This window comes from Homo sapiens, chromosome 2 (genome assembly GCF_000001405.40).
Source record: "Homo sapiens chromosome 2, GRCh38.p14 Primary Assembly".
Taxonomy (NCBI): Eukaryota; Metazoa; Chordata; class Mammalia; order Primates; family Hominidae; genus Homo; species Homo sapiens.
The window spans coordinates 7,622,256-7,645,643 of NC_000002.12; the positions used below are offsets into that span (position 1 = coordinate 7,622,256).

General features: G+C 42.2%; 1 annotated feature.

Annotated features, from left to right (window-relative positions):
- Window positions 12,007-12,684: an enhancer, noted in NCBI's record as "VISTA enhancer hs388". NCBI's record gives its function as "enhancer in: forebrain[8/13] | limb[10/13]" and the evidence as "EXISTENCE:transgenic organism evidence [ECO:0001131][PMID:17130149]".

Sequence of the window (23,388 nt, forward strand, 5' to 3'; positions counted from 1 at the left end):
CTGAGATTATAAGTGTTTTCTATCTTCACTGTCTGATATCACCACCAAATATGTGACTCTCGAGTGCATGAAATGTGGCTACTATGACTGATGATAGAAATGTTTAACTTTATTTAATTTTAATTATTTTAAGTATAATTAAGACAACAGATATGAAATAGCACCAGACAATAAGCACCAGAGTCTGGTGCATGAGGAAGACAGAATGGTAGTGTTGCTGAGCATAGCGTGCAGGCGGGAGAGTTATCAAATGAAAGCTCAAGTTCCAGGGCTTTGTATGCCATGATAAGGGATATGCACTCCTCATTCTACTGACTGTTCCCTCAATAATCCTTCATAATTATGAGCAGCCATTTTTGGCCAGTGTTTACTGTATTGGGCAGTATAGTTTTACAGGTAGGAAACAAATATTCAGAATAAAAAAAAAGAGGGCAAAGTATCAGATTATGATAAGTACTATTAATAGAATTTAATGCGTTGTAGAAAATAGGTTGAAATGTGAATGCCATTGCAGGGTGGCTATTTTGCAAGGTTGGGTCAGAGAAGGCCCCTCTAGAGGGCTCATAATATAAATGACAAGAAAAGCAAGTACGGAAAACATCAGAGAAGAGTATATTTGACAGAGGGCACAGCCAGTGCAAAAGTAGACCTGAGTCTGGTGCATGAGGAAGACAGAATGGCAGCATTGCAGAGCAGAATGTGCAGGCAAGAGGGTTACCAAGTAAGACCTAAAGTTCCAGGGCTATATATGTGGTGGTAAGGGATGTACACTCCTCATTCTACTGACTGTTTCTCAGCAATCCTTGATAATTCTTGACTCTAAGCCTTTGCAAACAATGTTTTCTCCCCATTCTTTTCTCTCCTTCTATTCCCAAAGTATTTATACTTGAAGATTGTTTTCTTCTTGCATGAAACTTCTCATGTAAGTCAACGCAAAATGTTGTTTCTTATCAGATTTGTACCTCTTATTTGCTGGGACATGATGCAGTAAATTTTAGTCTGCTGTGACTTTTCATATCTATTGTTATTTTATTTAATTTAGTTTTTTAAATTTTTGTTTTGGTTCTATAAATGTATGAATCATCTCCCTATGCAAATGCAAGCACCTTGAGACTGGAACCCATGCTTTGAATTAATTCTCCAAAATATCTCATAAGGTTATGTTATATAATAGGTATGGGGTAAGTTTTATTGATTATCTGTAATTTGTTAAAGGTAGAACATATATATGTTTTATATCAACTATTATTTTATACTGTATTAACTGAAGCACACATTTATTTTATTTAGTCTTAGAAGTGAGCTAGACTTTGAGCTCCTCTGAGAAACTGAGCAACATAATGGGAGGAGCTACAATTCATTTTAAATCCTCAGCACCTAGCACAAAAAACTCAATAATATATGTGGAATAATATAATAAAGTCATTATGTCTTGAAAATGCATTATGTAAAACCCGTACAAACTTTGGCACACAAATCATCAAATGGAAATGGAGATATGGCTTCATTGATACGCAGTCATGATGCCACCTAGGACAAGGGCATTAGCATATTGTAGAAACTCTTCAGGGTACCCTGTGCCTCTCCACTCATACAAGATGCTGTGCTCTCTCGTTACTAAGAAAGCAGGAAGGATTTGGAATCCTAGGACTTTCTAGTTCACCAAGTCGACATGGTTCCATTGCAGACTAGGCAATTTCATACAAGGCTTAGTGCAAAAACTTACTAAATGTATTTTTTGAATACGTAATAGTGTCTTTCATCTGTGAAAATTTTTAAATAAAAAATATATATATTTTAGAGAGACAAGGTCTCACTCTTGCCCAGGCTGGAGTACATTGGCACAATCATAGCTCACTGTAACCTTGAACTCCTGGGCACAAGCCATCCTCCCACCTCAGCCTCCCAAGTAGCTAAAATTACAGGCACCTGCTACCACACTCAGCTATTTATTTTACTTTATTGTAAAGATGAGATCTCACTATGTTGCCCAGATAGGTCTCAAACTTCTGGCCTCAAGTGATCCTCCTGCCTCAGCCTCCCAAAGCACTGGGAAAACAGATGTGAACCACCATGTCCAGCCAGAAATTTGAGGCTAGAAGAGGGAAATTCATGACAGGATGAGAAGAAAAAAAGAATATTAGATTTAAAATAAAAAAATGTCTAGCTAGTAAGCAGCAAAATATCCCATAATATAGATGGCAAATATTAACTGGAGGAGTGAGAACGAATTCTGACCACTTGACCATAGTTCTGTTACTCATATTGTAATTCAATTTGATAAAAGGGTATAAGGAAGAATCTGAGGTGTAGACAGTGGCAGCTGGTGACTTGGTAACCTCAACCCCCACCTTCCCAGTCCTTATTCTCCCCTCAGTGATTCTGTCCCCAACAGTAGCTCTCCCTTCCCAGCACTGCCTCATCAGCCCATTTCCAATCCCTGCTTCTACTCATTTCTCCCCTCTGCTTCTCTGTCTAAAGAAAACAGGTTGCACTGGGAATCACAGGAGCTGCATTCTTCTTTAGAGCTTCCACCACCATTGTCAGTGTTGATCTGGCCACCACCCAAACTCTCCATTTCTCAGTTTCTCAAATCATGAGATGGAGGAGATAGTCCTAGCTTTTCACACACAATGCTGTGATATAGGCTACAAATAAAGCCCAGTTGGCATGTTGTAAACTACTCTACTGGTCTGAATTATAGTAATGTCTCCTAAAGTATGTTCTCTCATTGGTGGTTCTATCAGTGTTCACAAGTGTGATCAAAACTGGAAGATTCCACAATGAAATGGAATGAACAATAGCAGGATGGACAATGGTGGAAAGGGTTCTCGATGGTAGAGCGCCTTACTGCCTGGATGCTGATATAAGCTGCAAGGCTCCAAGAAGGAGGTACAGGAGGCAGTACTCTCCATGCTTGTTGAGCAAGCAAAACTTGTCACTTTGCTGAGCGTGTCATGTCCCTGGGATCTTGAGATCCTTTAGATCATGTTTTCGAGGAGTGAACTGCTTAGAATAGAGACTGTGGACACCTGTAAAGTCCTTTCCATCTATATAATGTGATGGAGTTGAAGCCCAGATCATTGGTGAATGAGAGGTTTTCAGGGCCATCTGTGGGCAGGACGCTGGCCCTGCCCTAGTTATAGTGGTGCTTGCCTCTCCAAAAAGAGGAATGTGAGCTCCAGGGTACACATCGTCATTGGCAAAATAGCTTTCACTCTCATTCTGCCCTCCTCAGTGAATCAATCCACCTCCCCAGCCAGTTCTCCTGCTCCAGGTAGAACAGTTGAGCTTCCCTGTTTGATTTAATAGATAGTTAAAAATCAACTCTAAATATAGTGGAGTGTAACTGCGTAATGATATGTTTATGTTCAGTGAGGGGGAAAAAAGGAAGTGAAAAGAGCAACAGTTAACAGTGTCACCTCCTGTTGAGCCCAAACTGTGAGATGCAGAAATTTGATACAGGATGAATAAAATTAAATCGTTGGTCCTTTTCAGCAAACTTGTTTCTCCAGACCTTAGCTGTTCAGCTTGGAAGTTCGAGATATCAATTACCTGTGTTCCTAAAGAGAGAATAGAAAACTGGATACCAAAAGACTTGCCCCTGGAGCCCCACTCCACCCTATACCGTACCCAATAATATGCCCTTCAAATGGGGTGACCTACAGGAACTCAAGTTCGAGCGAAGCAAGTCTCCAAACTTCAGTTCATTGCCTTGGCCAGTCACTTACATGCTGATGATTGCAGGTATTTTAGATGTACCGTAGGACCCTTGGAGTTGTCATAACTAGGGTTCAAAAGGCACGTGGAAGCCTCCCAGTGGGGAAAACCCCCCGAGATGACTTTGGGGTTTTAAATCTGTGTCTCTTTCATCAGTCTGTAAGGACAGAAAAAAAAGCCTGTTGTGCTTAAAACATCATACTGTTTTTCCTCCAACAAAATCCATTTTCCTAGAGATGCAGAGGAATGCAAGGCTCTGCTGATGGTCTCAATCTATTCTGTTAGCTTCATCTTCTGCTCCCTCCAGACGTTGCACTCCAGCCTCATCAAGCACAATCTGCTTGTTCATCTCTAGCTGCTCTGCGCTGTGGTCTCTAATTCTGTCTCCTGTGCTCGTTCCTTCTCATTTCCGGTAGGAGAGCCCAGAATTTCACTTTTGTATCTCTTCACATTTTTATCAACATCACTACCTTGGGGATCTCCTCAAACGCTGCAGCATTAAACCCTATATGCAATGCCTCCCAAGCTTATCAGCAGACCCCACCCCATCCCCCGACTACTGAATTCCATTCACATCGTCGACTTCCTACTGGAAGTTTCTCTTGGGCATGTAATAAGCTTCTCAAACTTGATGTGTACAAAGCTGAACTCCCAATTGTCCTTCCCAACTACTCCTCTCTTCTTTCTTCATCTCAGTAAATGGCAACTCTGTCTTTCTAGTTCTGCAGGCCTCAAACTTGAACGTTGTCCTAGAGTCCTCTCTCCATCACACTCATTCTCATATTTGAATCCATTATATTCCAATTATGCCTAGAATCCAATAACTTTCATCATCCCACTGATCCTACTCTTATGGAAACCACTCTCATCTCTCACTTGGATATCCCCTGTGTTAGAATGATTACAAAAATGACCACAATCTTAAACTCTCTCTGTAACCATCAACTATGCAATGTTTCTTTGCGTTTGTTCGAATTAAGAGGTAAATTGTACCCCGCGACACACATGCGGACCCAAACCATGACTGCACCTTGTTTAAAATGTAGATAATTGCCAATTCTGAGCCTAAGCTTTACTCCACTTTTTTCGTTTTGGAAATCCTGCCATTGCATGTGGATAAGCCCAGCTTAGCCTGCTGGAGGAGAACCCAGTTATCCCAGTGGAGACCATTCTAGACCAGCCTATGCCTAATAAACCAGCAAACATGTGAGAACCACTCCCAAGATTAGCAGAGGTGCTCACCAGACCTACAGCTAACAGTAGACCCCTGTGTGAGCACAACTGAGCAAGAACTATGCCATTGATTTGTACAGTAATAGTGAATGCATATTGACTTGTCCAGTAATAGTGAATGCTTATTGTTTTATGCCAGTGAGTTTTTGGGTGGTTTGTTATGCAGCAATAACTAGCCAATAAACCCACTACCTCCTACCCAAAGTGATCTTCCTGCTTCTGCCCTTTCTTGCCTAATGACCAGATTAATTTCATTAAAATGTTATATCATTCTATTTGTTGCTTCAAAATCCTGAAATGCCTCCTCTTCTTATGTAGAATGAAAGTCAAAGTTGTTAAAATGACCCATAAGGCTAATCTGATCTACACCCACCAACCTGCTACCTCTCCAATACTGTCACTTTCCCCCATCTGTGTTTCTGCTGTATGCATTCCAACCACATTGGCCTTCCTGCTATTCCTCAGATACTACAGGCATTCTACCTTCTTAAAGCTTTGACATTCACTATTCCCTCTGCCTGAATCGTACTTCCTGTGGAATATGATGACTCACACCCCACCCACTTCTTCAGCTTCCTAGCAAGGCCTCCCGTGGGCACCGTATCTAAAATGAAATTCAAGTACTCCTTCCTACTCTAACATCTTCTGTCTTCCTCCCCTGCTCCATATTCCTCCTTAGTACTTTCACTCTCCTACCAAATATAGATTTTCCTTTTTCTCTTTCCTGGTACATTTCTATAAACTCCAGTCAGGCAGCAATTTTGTCTGTTTCATGCCTTGCTGCATCCTAAAACAATGCCTGCCATATAACAGGAACTCTACAAATATTTGCTAAGTGAATGAATGAACAAGTGTATGAAGTTAGATCCTTAAGACTCAAATGCTGTCCCCTCTCTGCCTGGCTCTTGATTCTGCACTCTCCCATATGTTATTGACTTGTAGCCATCTCTTTAAACTTCGTATTAGTCCGTTTTCATGCTGCTGATAAAGACATACCCGGGACTAGGAAATTTACAAAGGAAAGAGGTATGATGCAAAACTCATAGTTCTACATGGCTTGGGAAGGCAATCATGATGGAAGGCAAGGGGGAGCAAGTCACATCGTAAGTGGTTGGTGGCAGGCAAAGAGAGAGCTTGTGTAGGCAAACTCTCGTTTTGAAAGCCATCAGATATCATGAGGTTTATTCACCATCACAAGAACAGCACAGGAAAGACCCATCCCCATGTTTCAATTATCTCCCACCAGGTTCCTCCCACAACACATGGGAATTACAGGAGCTACAAGATGATATTTGGGTGGGGACACAGAGCCAAACCATATCAAACTTACACTAATTTTACTAGAGCCATATTCCCATCTCTGCAGCAGTTGGCAGTGAGTACTTAATTTTCTTCTAATACATAATACATTGTATTTGAATTATATGTAAATCTAAGTTCAAATTCTACCTATTCTTCAAAAAAAAAAAATTAAAAAAATCTCCGCCTGGTTCTTTCGATCCTCTCCTCTAAGTCTTTAAAATGTTTGAAGCCTATTTAAAACAAGGTCTTACCTAATTTTTCTCTACCGGTTGCCTTTAATTGTGCTAGAGTTGTTTCATCAATTAGAAACTAAGCTCTTAGAGTTTTTCCCTATCCCCCAAGGTGTCTTAAACAGTCCTGACTGGTATAAATCTCTTTTACGTCCTGCATCAAAAGATATAGGGATAGGTAAGAGTAGTGAAAGGAAACAATGAATAACAAGAAAGATAAACATGGCCTCAAGGACTCATTCCTGTATTTTTATCCAGAATTTTGCTGAAATATAAAAGATATGTTAATCAGACACATAAATATTAAAGAGCAAATGTACTGAAGTTCAGAGAGTTCAGTAGATTGAATTATGAGGCAAACCTAGGGATAAAATCTAACAAGGACAAATATGAAAGCCAGCATTGAAGACCCAGCAATCAATAGTACAGGCATACAGATCAGGGGAAACCAGAGCTGTTAGCTCCATGAAGGGAAAAAAAAAAAGGTCCCTGGCTTTAGGGATTTCAAGATCAGAAGTATCTCCAGTATGAAATAACGATTACAGAAAAAGCAGTAAACAACATTAGGGAGCAACATGGACCAGAACAAAAGATAAAATAATTCTGTGCCAGTCAAAGCACATCTGGAGCCTTCTGTTTAATGATGGGTGTCACATTTTACGATGCTGAAAAGCTGGAGCTCACTGAGAGGAAGGGGGAGAGCTGAGAGGTGGCTTGAGAACTGGTCCACTGGTGGCTTGGTTAGATAATTTGGGACTGTGTTGTCTGGAGAAGAGATGTGAAAGCAATTTTTTAAATACCTAAAAATCAAGAAGACATAATCTGGGCAGTTATCAGGGAAAGAATCAGAACCCAACAGAAGGTAGAAGAGCCCACTGCCCTGTCTGTTGTGGAAGAAGGTGCTGCCAACAGGCCAGACTTGTGAATTGGACAGCCTCCTGAAAACACGAGCCCCCTTCCAGAGTCAGTGTAAATTCAGAGGGGACTGACCCTGTCCTGAAGAGTTGTAGTAGGGATTTCTGGAGTGTAGTAGAGGCTGAGTGAGGTGAACCCTCGGGGGCTGACAGCATTGGAATACTACAATTCTGGGTATTTTTGTGGGACTGTTTAGAACAGGCCAAGTTGATGATTGGCCCATGGCTTGTGAAAGCTTGGGCTGGAGTGTAGGTAAAGGGTCCAATCCCAATTAGATACACCAAAAAGGGACCAGAGGTGAACTGTGTGTGGGTCTGTGATTCTGATTCTGGTCAAAACTGATCAATGTGATTCTCAACTTTCTCACATGTAAAATAGAAATGGGGGAGGGTGGGGATGTCTTCCTTCTCTTCATGGAGTTGCTGGAAATCCCAAGTAAGCTCACATGTGTATATGAGCCTTCATAGAGTAGACATTATACCCAGAGACTAAGTTTCACATATGTATGTAAGGATTACTGTATTTCTAATTGCGTTAGAGTTTTAAACAGGTATTCCAGAAAATAAGAAGACAGATCTGAATTTCAAAAAGGACCTTTGCAAGACCTCTAGTGACATTTTGGTCTAAATACAGGGATACATCTGGGTGATGGTAAACCCAGACGGATTTATCACTGGATGAAGGGTTCTGCCCCAAATGATGCTGATTGATAGATCAATGCCAACCTAGATAAAATTGTTTGATGACAGAGCTGTGTCCTCAAGCCCTGCTATGGGTCATAAAAAGATCAAAACAGATGGAAGTAATCTAACAAAGTTAAGTTTAATATGGGTGGGAAATTTGGTCTTATACTGGATTCTAAGAAAGCAACTTAAACTCTGAAATGTGAAGACTATATTTAAGAGTTTAATCTGTCATAAATTTAGTCAGTTGAGTGTGAGTCAACATTGCAATGTGGTACCCAAGAAGGAGAATGTCTTCTTAGGCTACACTGATAGAGGCATAGCTTCTTAAAAAATAAAACTACCAGCCAGGCTCGGTGGCTCACGCCTGTAATCCCAGCACTTTGGGAGGCCAAGGCAGGCCGATCACAAGGTCAAGAGATTGAGACCATGCCGGCCAACATGGTGAAACTTTGTCTCTACTAAAAATACAAAAAATTAGCTGGGCATGGTGGTGGGAGCCTGTAATCCCAGCTACTTGAGAGGCTGAAGCAGGTGGATCGCTTGAACCTGGGAGGAGGAGGTTGTAGTGAGCTGAGATCGTGCCACTGCATTCCAGTCTGGTGACAGAACAAGACTCTTTCTAAAAAAGTAAAAATAAATAAATAAATAAATAAATAAATAAATAAAGCAACCATAGTTGAGTTCCCCTCTGTACTGGCTAGGCTGCATATTCACTCCTGGGCATCTCAATTTTAAAGGGAGTTTTGACCAATATGACTGATATGAGCAGACACTGAGAAAAGCAGCACAAGGTAAACCTGAAACCGCTTGCATGAACGATGGGGTTAGGGAAATTATTTACCCCCAAAGAACACCCCAAAGACTTAGAAATTGCAAGAGCACTATGGCTTGGTCTCCAAATCTAGGTTCAACAGTGCCCATCCATGCCCAGCCTCTTAGGTTCAACAGTGCCCATACATGCCCAGCCTCTTAGGTTCAACAGTCCCCATCCATGCCCAGCCTCTTAGGTTCAACAGTGCCCACCCATGCCCAGCCTCTTAGGTTCAACAATGCCCATCCATGCCCAGCCTTAGGGTCAACAGTGCCCATCCATGCCCAGCCTCTTAGGTTCAACAGTGCCCATCCATGCCCAGCCTCTTAGGGTCAACAGTGCCCATCCATGCCCAGCCTCTTAGGGTCAACAGTGCCCACCCATGCCCAGTCTCCTTGCTAAGCTCTCCTCTTCAGGTATTCACATCTTCTAAGCAAGCTTTGGGGTCCACTACTCTTGATTTTCCAAGATCATGTATTTGAACATTAACACACACACACACTCCTCTTCTAAAATTAGCGATGTTTTTTAAAGGTGCATCTTAACCTGGATCTGGAAAAAAAGGTTTTTTTGTTTGTTCATTTGTTTGTTTTTTAATAGAAGGTAACCCATAGAAATGTAGCTTTGTCCCTTATGAGGAGAAACTTCCAAATTGTTATTCACAGCAGTTTAAATCTATTCCAGAAGAGGGTTTTTGATCTACATTTGCATATCTAAAGGTCCTTTGGGTGATTTTCCCAGAACAAAAAACAGTCTGCATGAGAGATAAATATAGGCCTCTACCTGGTAAGAAGCATAAACGTGCCAGCAAATTTTAAAGACCATTTCTATCTGTCTTTTCATCTAGGATTCAAAAATCAAATCATGAGTTCCATCCTCAGCCAGGGTCACTTTGTCACCTTTAATCAGTGTAGAAGAAAAAGGGGGTGGCCACATAGGAGGCAAACTCAGCACTTCTCAAATCAGTGACTCGGCAGCCATGCCTCCATGTGGTACTGGAGCAACTCTGCTTTCTGCCATGGAGACAGTGGTCTCGGTCTGACTATTTGGTATATGGAAGAGAAGGAAGAGAATAAGTATGTTTAAACATTAATGAACTTGAAGATCACCCTTTTAAACTGTGTTCTGAACCGGGGCTTGAGTTCTGATAAAGAGAGGGGAGGTGCTCATTGAAGTAGAAAGTGGCTGGAACTGAAGATGGTCTAACAGATCTTGAGAGGATGTTCTTGGAGAAACAATGACATCAGTTTTGGGAATGCTGAGGTGAAGGGTACAATGTCCAGAGGAAACATGGGGCTGGAGCTCAGGGGACAGGTTCTGCCTCCCACTGGTTGAATCATTGCTTCTGATTCTTCCAAGCATCTTGGTACAACTCTGGGATGAGTGGTAGTGAGGCACAGCTACCTCCTTAGCACAAGCCTCTTCCCAAATTCGGAATGCCCATTGTAGCCCATTTCCCTGATGACATCATCAGTATCAACCACATGATGTCATCTTGTGGGGGGTGGAGGCGAGCCTCGTATCTCCAGACCTCTTCTCTGGAATCTGGAATGCCACAGGGATAGCTCTGGATATGACACAGGACATAATTCTACATTTATGGCTATTGAACACAAAGACTTCTCAAAGGAGCAGTTGAGATATTTAGACCTTCCGCTATTCAAATACATCTCAATTTCCTCTCATTCAGGCTACAGCTTTATGATAACATTTTATTTTATTTTGTCTGAAACCACTCAAATGAGGAATCAGTATTTGGTTCCTCTATTTAGGTTTTGAGAGCTTTACCTTTTGGCTGGGATCATGCTCTATCCTAAGTCTTTGACATCCATTAGAGCTGTATCTTCTTCTTCATGCTCTCCACTGTCACACCTCCCCAGGGCACACTTAGCTCTGCCTAATTCTCATAATTACATGTGGGGTGGTCATGAGTATTGATGGAGGAAATAGATCCAGACATCAGCTAGATGCTGTGAAAGGAAAGGGAATAGTCACCATTCATTTGGGGGATTACACCAAGTTCCTGTCAACTTCCTTCAGCCCATCATTTCTCTCTTCACAAAAGTCAAAGAACTTTGACATCAATTATCTCATTCTGCCCTTGTAAAGATAAATGAAGTTGAATATTGACTCCATTGTACAGATGTGGAAACTAAGGCCCACAGAGGCTACGGTAGCAAAGTAATGCTGGATATTCCGAAAATGCAGGAACTAGAAGTTGCATGTTGTCTCCTGTGTCTTAACTATCTTGTGCTTTCTGCTCCTCTTTACAGCATTAAGTGCAGAGAATAAGAGACATTGATATTGCAGAGATTAATGTTTCTATATCATTAACTTTGTGCAGAGCATTATACTGGGTGCTTTACATATGCAGTGTTCAGTGAGTCCTCACCAAAACATGTGCTATTTCTGTCCCCATTTTAGAGAAGAGAGGAATTAAGACTCAAGAGGGCTAAACAACTCTCCCAAGAGCACATAGTGAGATTAGGGTCGAGAGCCAACCCCAGCCCTGCCCCATGCTTTGGCCTGTGCCATCTGCCCATGAGGCAGTCAAGTTCAACGCCCCAGCAGCGATTCTGAGCAGAAGGGCTACGGGAGTTCAAGGAGTCCCCACTCCTCCTGGGGGCAGACTGGGCAGATGTCCCAGAGAAAATGGGGTTGACCTGGAAGCCATCCAGCTCTGACAAATACACATCCTGGGGGGGGTCAGTGCTTAGAGATAATAAGCACAATCATTCCTTATTTCCTCTGTTGGATGACTGCAAGAACAAGGTCTCATAAACAGGTTTCACCTAGAGTCTCAAGCTGGGCAAGAAGAATGAGTAACTAGTAATGCTCGAGTTGGGTGTGAAGCAGTCTTTACTCTCCTTGGGGCCCGGGGGGATGGCTGACCCCAGCTGTCCACCTTCAAAGATAGCACCCACTGAGTTTCAGATTCAGCCGAGGCTACCCAGAGCAAACAGTGCTCTTGGTAGGAAGAGTGCTGGTTTTAATTAATTAAGTGAAAAAAGACTCTTAATGATATTTCTCTCTCTCTCTCTCAATCTCTCTCAATCCCTCACCCATCACTATAACATGTCATTTGCTTCATAGTGGCTTCTGAGTTGCCACCACACCAACTCTGTGATCCACAAAAATCTTGCATTTAATACAGCAACGACACCTATAATGGGGAAGGGGTGGGGGTGGGGAGGCCGCACATTTCACCATTTCCATCTAGATGAGGAGCAAACAAAGAGATAATTATAAACTGTTTCTCTTATTGTTGCACTCGCATTAGACATGTGCATCTCTCTCTCCCTCTCCCTCGCTCGCTGTCCTTTTTTTTTTTTTCTCCACAGAAAAGTAATTCTGTTGTGGAGATGGCACCAGGTGCACGGGGTGACCTCACACACACCAAATCGGGAGCTGACATCCATCACACTTTGAAATTTTGGATTTCATCATTTCCTGATCTTTCTAAAGGGATCACAGCACCTGGCCCTCACAGCTGTAGTTCATTTAGAAAGCAATTTAAAAACCGAGAAAAAAGCAAATGACATCTTGCTGCCTCAGCCTTGTCATTAAGTATAGCAGAATGGCCTTCATTTATGAGGCACATGGCTAAGAATTAATATCTTTCAGGGCTTTCTCGAGTAGAGATTACAAAAGGTTTGAAAGACCACTAAATAATTAGTGGTATGACTGAGGCAAGCAAAAAAAAGGGGGGGAAGAATCCCTCTTTTTCGTTCTACAGAAGAAAATCAGAAATTACACTGACTTTAGTGTGTCCTAAATGTTGGGAGGCATCCGTGCAGCACCCTTTGTGAGCCATATTCTGTGCTGTGGGCTTCTTCTGCCTTCCCTGGTATTTTCAGCAGTCCCCGTGGGTGTGTGCTCTTCATCTCCAGATAGTGTCCATTCGCCCAAAATAAAAAAATATTTTTCCCAAATGTTTTGCTGAGTTAAGACTGCTTTAAACATCTTCAAGTCATCTCACAGAGTTCTCTTCCCCTTCTTACGTTGCAAGCCTCTTTAGATAAGGTTGATGGGGAACATAGACCAGGTTGATGGAGAACAGTCACAGGGTGGACACAGCACCAGCTAAGGATATCTGTGTTCTAGTTTTTCCAATTCTTTTTACCATTTAGCCACATAAAATGTGGAAAACAACTTCTGTCGTCCGAGTCTCAATTTTCTTATTCTGCAAAATGAATGGATTAAAAGACATGGCTTCTGGAATCTTTTAGTTAGCTAAGTACACTGAGCAGGATTTCTAAGAACCATTTGGAAATCGGTTCAAAAGTTTTGCCAATACAGTTCTAGCCAGAGTTTCTTTGTCTCACACCCAGGACGCATTGAGAATAAAGTGCTAAATTGCTTCCAGACCTGAGTCTTATTTTTAACAGTAATTATTTTGTTGAGTACCATAATATGTTGGTGGTATACTTACATGATCTGTGATCTTCCTTATCACCCTTCACAGTGGGCATAATTATTCCCTTTTTACATGCGAAGAAACTGAGGCTTGGCCAGCTTCAGTAATGTGTCCAATTTAGAAGGTAGAACTCAACAGATCCTCTAATCCTTCTGAGCAATGTCTTTAGTAGCTTTCAGGGAGCCACTCTAGTTGAATTCCTAGGATACTGTCAATTTGGTCTACCGAAAACCCTGGAGCTATGAAGCCTCCGACCCCAGCCACTCTCGCTCTGCACCGCACATTCACTGTTATCTCTTTCAGGTAATCAGTATTTCACTCATCAATGCTGAGTGGTCCTCTTACCTAGGTGTTTCCCAACATTCATGAAAACTTATGAGCCCCTAAATGTGTCAGAAAATCTCCTGAAAGAGAAAGGGCATGTGTATTTTGCACAATATTCTAGGAGCCAGCCATCATTCCTAGATGCCATCCATGCAGATATAACTTAATTCTCACAACCACCATACCAAGTGGGGTTTATAATCCACACTTCACAGCAAGAGGCATAGGCTGAGGCAGGTGAAAGAGCTTTCTGTGATGGATTGCACTATTGTTTCTGATTATTCTCTTGTTCTTCCTGTGAGATGATGTTTGGGTCCTAGCTCCTTACTGTGTGACTTGCAGCACCTCCTGTGTGGGGGTAGAGGTGTCCCTGCCCTACTCATGGGGCACGTGGCCATATGACCTCCTGTGGCAAATGGAAAGTGAGCCAAGGCGCATGGTTCTCACCAAAGGAGTAGCGTAAATCCTTTTTGCGTGCCTGCCAGTTCTCTCGTACTTTGTCTCTGCCAAGAGAAGGCTGTGCCTCCTATGAGGCTTCTCCTTGAGCCTGGGTCCCCCAGTGAAAAGACAGGCAGAGTGGAACTACAGGCAAACCACAGTGGCCATTAGACAACCAGAGCATAAAATACAACTTTTTGTGTATGTGTACATCACTGATGGAAGTCCTTGTTGTTTAACCCAACAAACCCAGCAAAAGCTGCATAACACACTTGCTTACAGTCTCCACAAAAGTGGCTGCTTCTGCACTGACACTATTCAAAGTACCCATGAAGTTCTGATTACTTGTGGTCTATTCAAAAATACAGCTACATATTGTCACCAGTCAAAAAGAGTACAAAATAAGATAAAGGCTTTGTTGGATTTTACAGTGGATAAATCCCTGAGCTGCATACAGTAGATAAATCCTTGATTCAGGATCAATAATTTTATTTAATATAAATTTCTTTTTTTGAGACAGAGTCTCACTCTGCCACCCAGGCTGGGGTGCAGTGGTGCGATCTCGGCTCACTGCAACCTCTGCCTCCCAGGTTCAAGCATTCTCTGCCTCAGCCTCCCGAGTAGCAGGGACTACAGGCGCCTGCCACTACACCCAGCTAATTTTTGTATTTTTAGTAAAGATGGGGCTTCACCATGTTGGCCAGGTTGATCTTGAACTCCTGACCTCAAGATCCATCCGCCTCGGCCTCCCAAAGTGATGGGATTACAGGCGTGAGCCACCGCGCCCAGCCTGAATATAAATATTTTTTATTTTGGACGAATGGACACTATCTGGAGATGAAGAGCACATATCCACGGGGACTGCCAAAGGGTAGGCAGAAGAAGCCCACAGCACAGAATACGGCTCACAGAGGTGCTGCAGGGATGCCTCCCAACATTCAGGACGCACTAAAGTCAGTGTAATTTCTGATTTCCTTCTGTAGAATGAAAAGGAAGGATTTCCTCCCCCACCTCCTGCTTTTTTGTGCTTGCCTCAGTCATACCGCTAAGTATTTAGTGGTCTTCCAAACCTTTTGTAATCTCTACTCAAGAAAGCATAAAAAGATTATTCACCAAGAAAGCCTCAGTGTGTAGCAGAGGCACAGGCAGGACCTTCAGAGATACATAGATATGTGATTGCTTCTTAAATAGTCAGGTAAAATTTTAGTGCAGTCACTGACATTAATTCATCTGTAGCTTAGAGACAGTAATCAATTCAGACTGTAAATACCAACTACATGGAGAGCTCTCGTTCTTTCTTTCTCTCTGCATTTATTCATCTATGTATTTATTACGTTTAAGAAATCCATTGGTTAGTTTTAAGACAGCTCTAAACAGCTGCCAATGAAAGAGCCGCTGGTTGTGAGTGTGTTCCTTGTTGCTCCTACACCTGCATCAGTTTAGCCAAAAGTTATATCCAGTTTTGAAAAGGTAAAATTGTGTGCATTGGATGACAAATCCTATCAGTTTACCCAGGGAAGAGGTGTTTCCTGAAATGTGAGAATTTCTGTTATTAAACCAGGGAAGTCCCAGGTGAACTGAGATAGTTGATCTCCCTAGGTATGAGAAACAAGTCTTTATACTGATATATTCTCCATAGACATATTGCTGAATCCCCACATCTACTACAAAGCTCCAATGCCTCCTTTTCCATGAAGACTTTCTCCCTTTCACTATCTTCCAAAATTATATTGAAATTGTCCTCAGAATGTTGAAAAGCCCTCATAACTTTGTCACTCACTCAAAGGTTAGCATTTGCATTCCTTTTTATTGTTTCTTTTGTGTCATTTGTCATTATTGCTACAAATTCTCTTAGTGATAATAGAGTAAAATGACTCTGATTTACTAGCTCAGTAGCCAGATATTAGAATGGCTTGGCAAACTTTCCAAAGTCCCATCCCACGGCTCATCTCTAATTAATTAAATCAGAATCTCTGGGGATAAAGATGGGGCCCTAATTTCATCTTTTGTTTTTGTTGTTTGTTTTTATTGTGCTTTGTTTTTTAAGCTCTGTTAGTGATTCTAACATGTAGCAAGAGTTGATAAATACTAATATGACTCAACTCATTAATTAAAAAACAACAACAAACAAACTGACTTTGTCTAACAGAAGTTAACTATCTCATCTTAGATTTCTACAGATTGCCAGCAGCAATGTTTAGGGGGAAAAAAGGAAATCAAGAAACTAAACTGTCTGATCCCCTAATCTTTCATGAAAATTTTTAAATGGAGCTGTCCATCTATCTGTCCATTTCAACTCATATCCATACTGTACCTCAATTTTCCCGTTCTGCTTCCCTCTTGTTTTCCTCTCCCTAAACTATGAAGAAGACATCAGAACAGAGTTGGCTTCTTGTGGACAACAGAATAAATAGAAGTTGCTGAATCAAACAAGTTGTTTATGCTATGATATAATCTCTCTCTCCTTCCCAAATTGACCCTATACATCACATCTAGGTCCGATAAATCTCTCAGCTGTCTAATGCAGAGCTTCTCACTCAATTGTCAATGATTGGTAACATATATGACAAGATATTGATCCCTTTAGCTTTCTAATAGGCCAGGTAGGATATGGCAGGGCAGAGACCTAGTACATCCACAACTCCAGATCCTTTGTCCAATTCTACCTGTAGGCTCTCCTTACTCCAGGGTGCTGTAAACAGATAATCATTTTCTATATGTACCAGAATGTGAAATTTTATGATAGACTAAATGCTATTAACTTGTTCTCTCTCTCAATGATTTTCTCTTCCTTTCAATGATGTTGTCGTCTTAATCTGAACACTTTTTGGAGAATGTAGCCTACCAAGCCTACCAAAAACGCAATGTTTTTGTTTACATTATTTGACTTAATTCTTAAAGCATCTTTGTTGGATTTATTTTATAGATTAGAAAAGGAAAGATTTGAGAACTGAAGAATTTTCCTCAAATCACAGAAATGATAAGGTAGAAATGGTACTAAAAACTGTGTAACTATTTTAGTTTGTTTGTTTCTAATTATTATATCACTCTTAAATTTGCCCTGATACCATCTTCATCATCAAAATCAACACTAAGTAACATCATTACCTTGATTTAAAAGAGACATACTTTCTCCCAATTTCAGGTTGATTTTTCAGTCTGTATTCTTCCCTTGAATGCCAGAATTAGTAACTAGAAAAGAGACTTTAAAGATCCAGATATCTAATAAGTGTAGTAAGGGTTAACGTGGCAGCCCTGGGTTGCCCAAACCTTCCACATTCCAAAGGTCTTCAAGACTGGCCCTTGACTAGCTTCCAGCAGTTGCCTTGAGCCTTTGAAATAAACTCACTGATAAGAGTTTCTTTGTGTACCTATGATTGGGGCCATGCCAGATAGTTTTTGCTAACAGTGGAGTTTATGGTGAATGCTTATTTGTATATGCTTTGTAAGTGGTGGCTTTCAGTCATGCTGTGTCAATTTGGCTTCCAGAGAGTCTGGGGGTGAGTAGCTAAGGTTAGTTATTGGCATTGCTTACCTACATGAATGACCCCCAGTAAAAACCCTGCATACCAAGTCTCAAGGGAGCTTCCCTGGTTGACAACTTTGCAAGTGTTGTCACACATAATTTCTGGGAAAATTAAGTGCCATCCATACAACTCCACTGTGAGAAGACAACTGGAAGCTCATGTGTGTTCTCTCCTAGATTTCAACTTATGCTCCTTTTCTATTGGCTTATTTTAATTGGTATCCTTTCACGCTAATGAATTGTAAGCATGAGAAGGACAGCTTTTCAGAATTTATGACTCTTTCTAGAAAATCATTAGACCTGAGCGTGGTCATAAGAATATCCAACACATGATGCTGTTTGGAGGCATGGAGCCTGTGTTAGTCCATTCTCAAGCTGCTGTTAAAGCCATACACAAGACTGGGAAGAAAAAGAGGGTGAATTCAGCTTGTGGCCCTACATGGCTAGGAAAGACTCACAATCATGGCAGGAGGAAAAAGGCACTTCTTACATGGCAGCAGCAAGAGAAAATTTGGAAGAAGCAAAAGTATAAACCCCTGATAAATCCATCAGATCTTGTGAAACTTAATTCACTCTTAATTGAATCATAATCCCCATGATTCAATTACCTCCCGTAGGTCCCTCCCACAACATGTGGGAATTGTGAGAGATATAATTCAAGTTGAGATTTGGGTGGGGACATAGCCAAACCATATCATTCTGCCCTGGTCCACCCAAATCTCATGTCCTCACAATTCAAAACCAATCAGGCCTTCCCAAAAGTCCCCCAAAGTCTTAACTCATTTCAGCATTAACCTAAAAGTCCACAGTCCAAAGTCTCATCTGAGACAAGGCAAGTACATGCTGCCTATGTGCATCTAAAATCGAAAGCAAGCTAATTACTTCCTAGATACAAATGGAGTACAAGTATTGGGTAAATACAGCCATTCCAAATGGGAGAAATTGGCCAAAACAAAGGGATTACAGAGCCCATGCAAGTCTGTAATCAAGCAGGGCAGTCAAATCTTAAAGCTCCAAAATGATCAACTTTAGCTCCATGTATCACATCCAGGTCACGCTGATGCAGGAGGTAGGTTACCATGGTCTTGGGCAGCTCAGCCCTTGTGGCTTTTCAGGGTACAGCCTCCCTCCCAGCTTCTTTCCCGGGCTGGTGTTGGGTGTCTGTGGCTTTTCCAGGTGCATGGTGCAAGCTGTCGGTGGATCTACCATTCTGGGGTCTGGAGGACGGTGGCTCTCTTCTCACAGCTCCACTAGGCAGTGGCCCAGTAGGGACTCTGTGTGGGGGCTCTGACCCCACATTTTCCTTCCACACTGCCCTAGCAGAGGTTCTCCATGAGGGCCCCACCCCTTCAGCAAACTTTTGCCTGGGCATCCAGACGTTTCCATACATCTTGTGAAATCTAGGCGGAGATTCCCAAACCTCAATTCTTGACTTCTGTGTACTGGCAGGCTCAACGCCATGTGGGAGATGCCAAGGCTTGGGGCTTCCACTCTCTGAAGCCACAGCCCAAGCTGTACATTGGCCCCTTTCAGCCATGGCTGGAGTGGCTGCGACACAGGGCACCAAGTCTCTAGGCTGCACACAGCACAAGAAGCCTGGCCCATGAAACCACTTTTTCCTCCTGGGCCTCCAGGCCTGTGATGGGAGAGGCTGCCATGATGGTCTCTGATATGGCCTGGAGATATTTACCTCATGGTCTTGGAGGTTAACATTAGGCTCCTTGCTACTTATGCAGATTTCTTCAGCCAGCTCGAACTTCTCCCCAGAAATCTAGTTTCTTTTTTATATTTCATAGTCATACTGCAAATTTCCAAACTTTTATGCTGTGCTTCCCTTATAAAACCAAATGCCTTTAACAGCACCCAAGTCACCTCTTGCTGCTTAGAAATTTCTTCTGCCAGATATCCCAAATCATCTTTCTCAAGTTCAAAGTTCCACAGATCTCCAGGACAGGAGCAAAATGTCACCAGTCTCTTTGCTAAAGCATAACAAGAGTCATCGTTACTCCAGTTCCCAACAAGTTTCTCATCTCCATCTGAGACCACCTCAGCCTGGATCTTATTGTCCATATCATCATCTGCATTTTGGGCAAAGCCATTCAACAAGTCTGTAGGAAGTTGCAAACTTTCCCACATTTTTCTGTCTTCTTCTAAGTCCTCCAAACTGTTCCAGCCTCTGCCAGTTACCTAGTTCCAAAGTCATTTCCACATTTTTGGATATCTTCTCAGCAACGCCCCAATGTACTGGTACCAATTTACGGTATTAGTCCATTTTTACTCTGCTGGTAAAGACATACCTGAGACGGAGAAGAAAAAGAGGTTTAATTGAACTTACAATTCCTCATGGCTGGCGAGGCCTCAGAATCATGGTGGGATGTGAAGGGCACTTCCTGTGTGGTGGGGGGCAAGAGAAAATGAAGAAGAAGCAAAACAGAAACCTCTGATAAACCTATGAGGTCTTTTGAGACTTAATTCACTATCATGAGAATAGCATGGGAAAGACTGGCCCCCATGATTCAATTACCTCCCCCTGGGTCCTTCCCACAATACATGGACATTCGATTCAATTTAAGATTTGGGTGGGGATACAGCCAAACCATATCAGAATCATACATGTGGAGAAACACAGAGGACTTGGGTGTGACTGTCACTGGCCTCCATGCTAAGAACAGATGCAAATATCAGCCATAGCTTTTATTAAGGACTTTATGGTTTTATTTCTCAACGGAGAGGGGAAAACAGAAGAAATTCTACAGAAAAACTAGAAGGTAATACTCAGTTAGTGTAGAGTCAATTGCTTAAGTATGTACTAGTATTTAGCATTGTTACAGACTTTCAAGGAAAACTGAGAAATGTAGGAATCAAATCATCTTTCTTTTACCATTAATGCCCTTGAAATAATACAATCTTGCCAAGGGCATTTACTCAGGAATAGATTAATGTTCACATGCTTGGAAGATAAATTGGCTACTGACATACTCCTATTATTATTTTTTTCTGAACAGCCACAAAGAGCTGCCAATTTCATAGGAGTAAGAAGTTTTTCTTAGGTATGATAGATCTTAAAATCATTGGAAAATGAAACCATTTTTGCTAATCAGTACTTTTCATTTTTCTGCACTTTGTTTAAAGAATGAAACCGAGTGTGCATCACACAAGCATGGGTTCTTTCCCTCTTCACACAGCAGTGCACTTCATGGTTTGGTGATGCTCATTTTAGCTTCGTAAAGATTACATTTCAGAATGAAGTTTTACAATCACTTTTACAGTGATCTTTGAAAATCAATGAGATGTGTGACATCAGAAAGTAAGGCAGCTGAAGGATTGAAGGATGTGCCATCTCAAATTATGCCAGATTAGCATATGATTACATGAAGCATGATTATTGTCAGTTGAAAACATCCGAGAAATTGTAGTTTCAGATAGGGCTAGCAGACCTGTTTCTTTCTGCATTCAGAAAGCCATAAAGATGACTCTGGGAGGGACACCCTCCCTGTACCAGGGTGAGAAAATCAACCTCATCACCAGGGACTTGGAATTGGGGGCTACAACAAACCTGAATAAATCCACTTCCTGATGTAACCCTTATCTGCTGCTAGTTTTACACACATCCATACATCTCCCCATGATTCCCCTAGAAATTTACTGCCCCTACCCAGATCCCCTTTGTCTTATCATTTCTTCTCAAATTCATTGTTCTTTGACTAAAAAGTATAAAAGCATCTTGCTTTGGCCACTTCTTCAAACTTCACCCTCTTGTGAAGATCCCCAGGTACATAGAAAACTAATAAAATTGTTATACTTTTCTCTTGTTTGTTAATCTGCCTGGTGTCAAATTTGGCTTCCAGCCAAAGGGCTCATATAAGAGCTAACGGCAGGTTTGCAGTGATCACTGGCTCCCCTTTACAGCAAAGAGCTAAACTAACAATCTTAAAGGTAATTAGTTTTTTGAGGCAAGGTCTCTGTCTCTGTCACCTAGGCTAAGTACCATGGGGTCATCTTGGCTCACTGCAGTCTTGACCTCCCGGGCAAAAGTGAACCTTCAGCCTCAGCCTCCTCAGTAGCTGGGAATACCAGCACATGCCACCAAGTCTAGCTATTTTTTGTATTTTTTTGTAGACATGGGATTTTGCCATGTTGCCCAGGCTGGTCTTCAACTCCTAGGCTCAAGCAATCCACCTCCCAAAGTGCTGAGATCACAAGTGTGAGACACTGTATTAGTCCATTTTCACACTGCTGATAAAGACATACATGAGACTGGGAAGAAAAGCAGGTTTAATTGGACTTACCATTCCACATGGTTGGGAAGGCCTCAGAATCATGGCAGGAGGAAAAGTCACTTCTTACATGGTGGGGGCAAAAGAAAATAAGGAAGGAGCTAAAGCAGAAACCCCTGATAAACCCATCAGATCTTCTGAGACGTATTCACTGTCATGAGAATAGCACAGTAAAGACCAGCCCCCATGATTCAATTACCTCCCACTGGGTCCCTCCCACAACACATGGGAATTCTGGGAGGTAAAATTAAAGATGAGATTTGGGTGGGGACACAACCTAACCAGATCATTCCACCCCTGGCCCCCCCAAGACTTATGTCCTCACATTTCAAAACTAATCATGCCTCCCCAACAGTCCCCAAAAGTCTTAACTCATTTCAGCATTAACTCAAAAGTCCACAGTCCAAAGTCTCATCTGAGACAAGGCAAGTCCCTTCCACCTATGAGCCTGTAAAATCAAAAGCAAGTTAGTTTTTTCCTAGATACAATGGGAGTACAGACATTAGGTAAAAATTCAACCATTCCAAATGTTAAAAATTGTCCAAAACAAAGGGGTTATAGGGCCCATTCAGGTCTAAAATCCAGTGGGGCAGTCAAACCTTAAAACTCCAAAATGATCTCCTTACACTCCATGTCTCACATCCAGGTCATGATGATGCAAGAGGTGGGTTCCCATGGTCTTGGGCAGCTCCACCCCTGTGGCTTTGCAGGGTACAGCCTCCCTCCTGGCTGCTTTCACAGGCTAGCATTGAGTGTCTGCAGCTTTTGCAGGAGCACAGTGCAAGCTGTTGGTGGATCTACCATTCTCGGGTCTGGAGGATGGTGGCCCTCTTTTCACAGCTCCACTAGGCAGTGCCCCAGTAGGGATTCTGTGTGGGGGTTCTGACCCCACATTTCCCTTCTGCACTGCCCTAGCATTGGTTCACCATGAGAGCCTCTCCCCTGCAGCAAACTTCTGCCTCCAGCCGTTTCCATACATCTTCTGAAATCTAGGCAGAGGTTCCCAAACTTCAATTCTTGACTTCTGTGAACCTGCAGGCTCAACACCAGATGGAAGCTGCCAAGGCTTGGAGCTAGCGTCATCTAAAGCCCTGGCCTGACCTCTACATTGGGCCCTTTCAGCCATGGTTGGAGCAGCTGGGATGCAGGACACCAAGTCCCTAGGCTGAACACAGCTTGGGGACCCTGGGCCTGGCTCACAAAACCACTTTTTCTTCCTGGGCCTCTAGTCCTGTGTTGGGAGGGGCTGCCATGAAGACCTCTGACATGCTCTGGAGACATTTACCCCATGGTCTTAGGGATTAACATTTGGCTCCTTGTAATTTATATAATTTCTGCAGCCACTTGGATTTCTCCTCAGTAAATGGAATTTTCTATCACATTGTCATGCTGCAAATTTTCCAGACTTTTATGGTTTGCTTCCCTTATAAAGCTGAATGCCTTTAACAGCACCCTAGTAGCTTTTTGAATGCTTTGCTGCTTAGAAATTTATTCTGCCAGATACCCTAA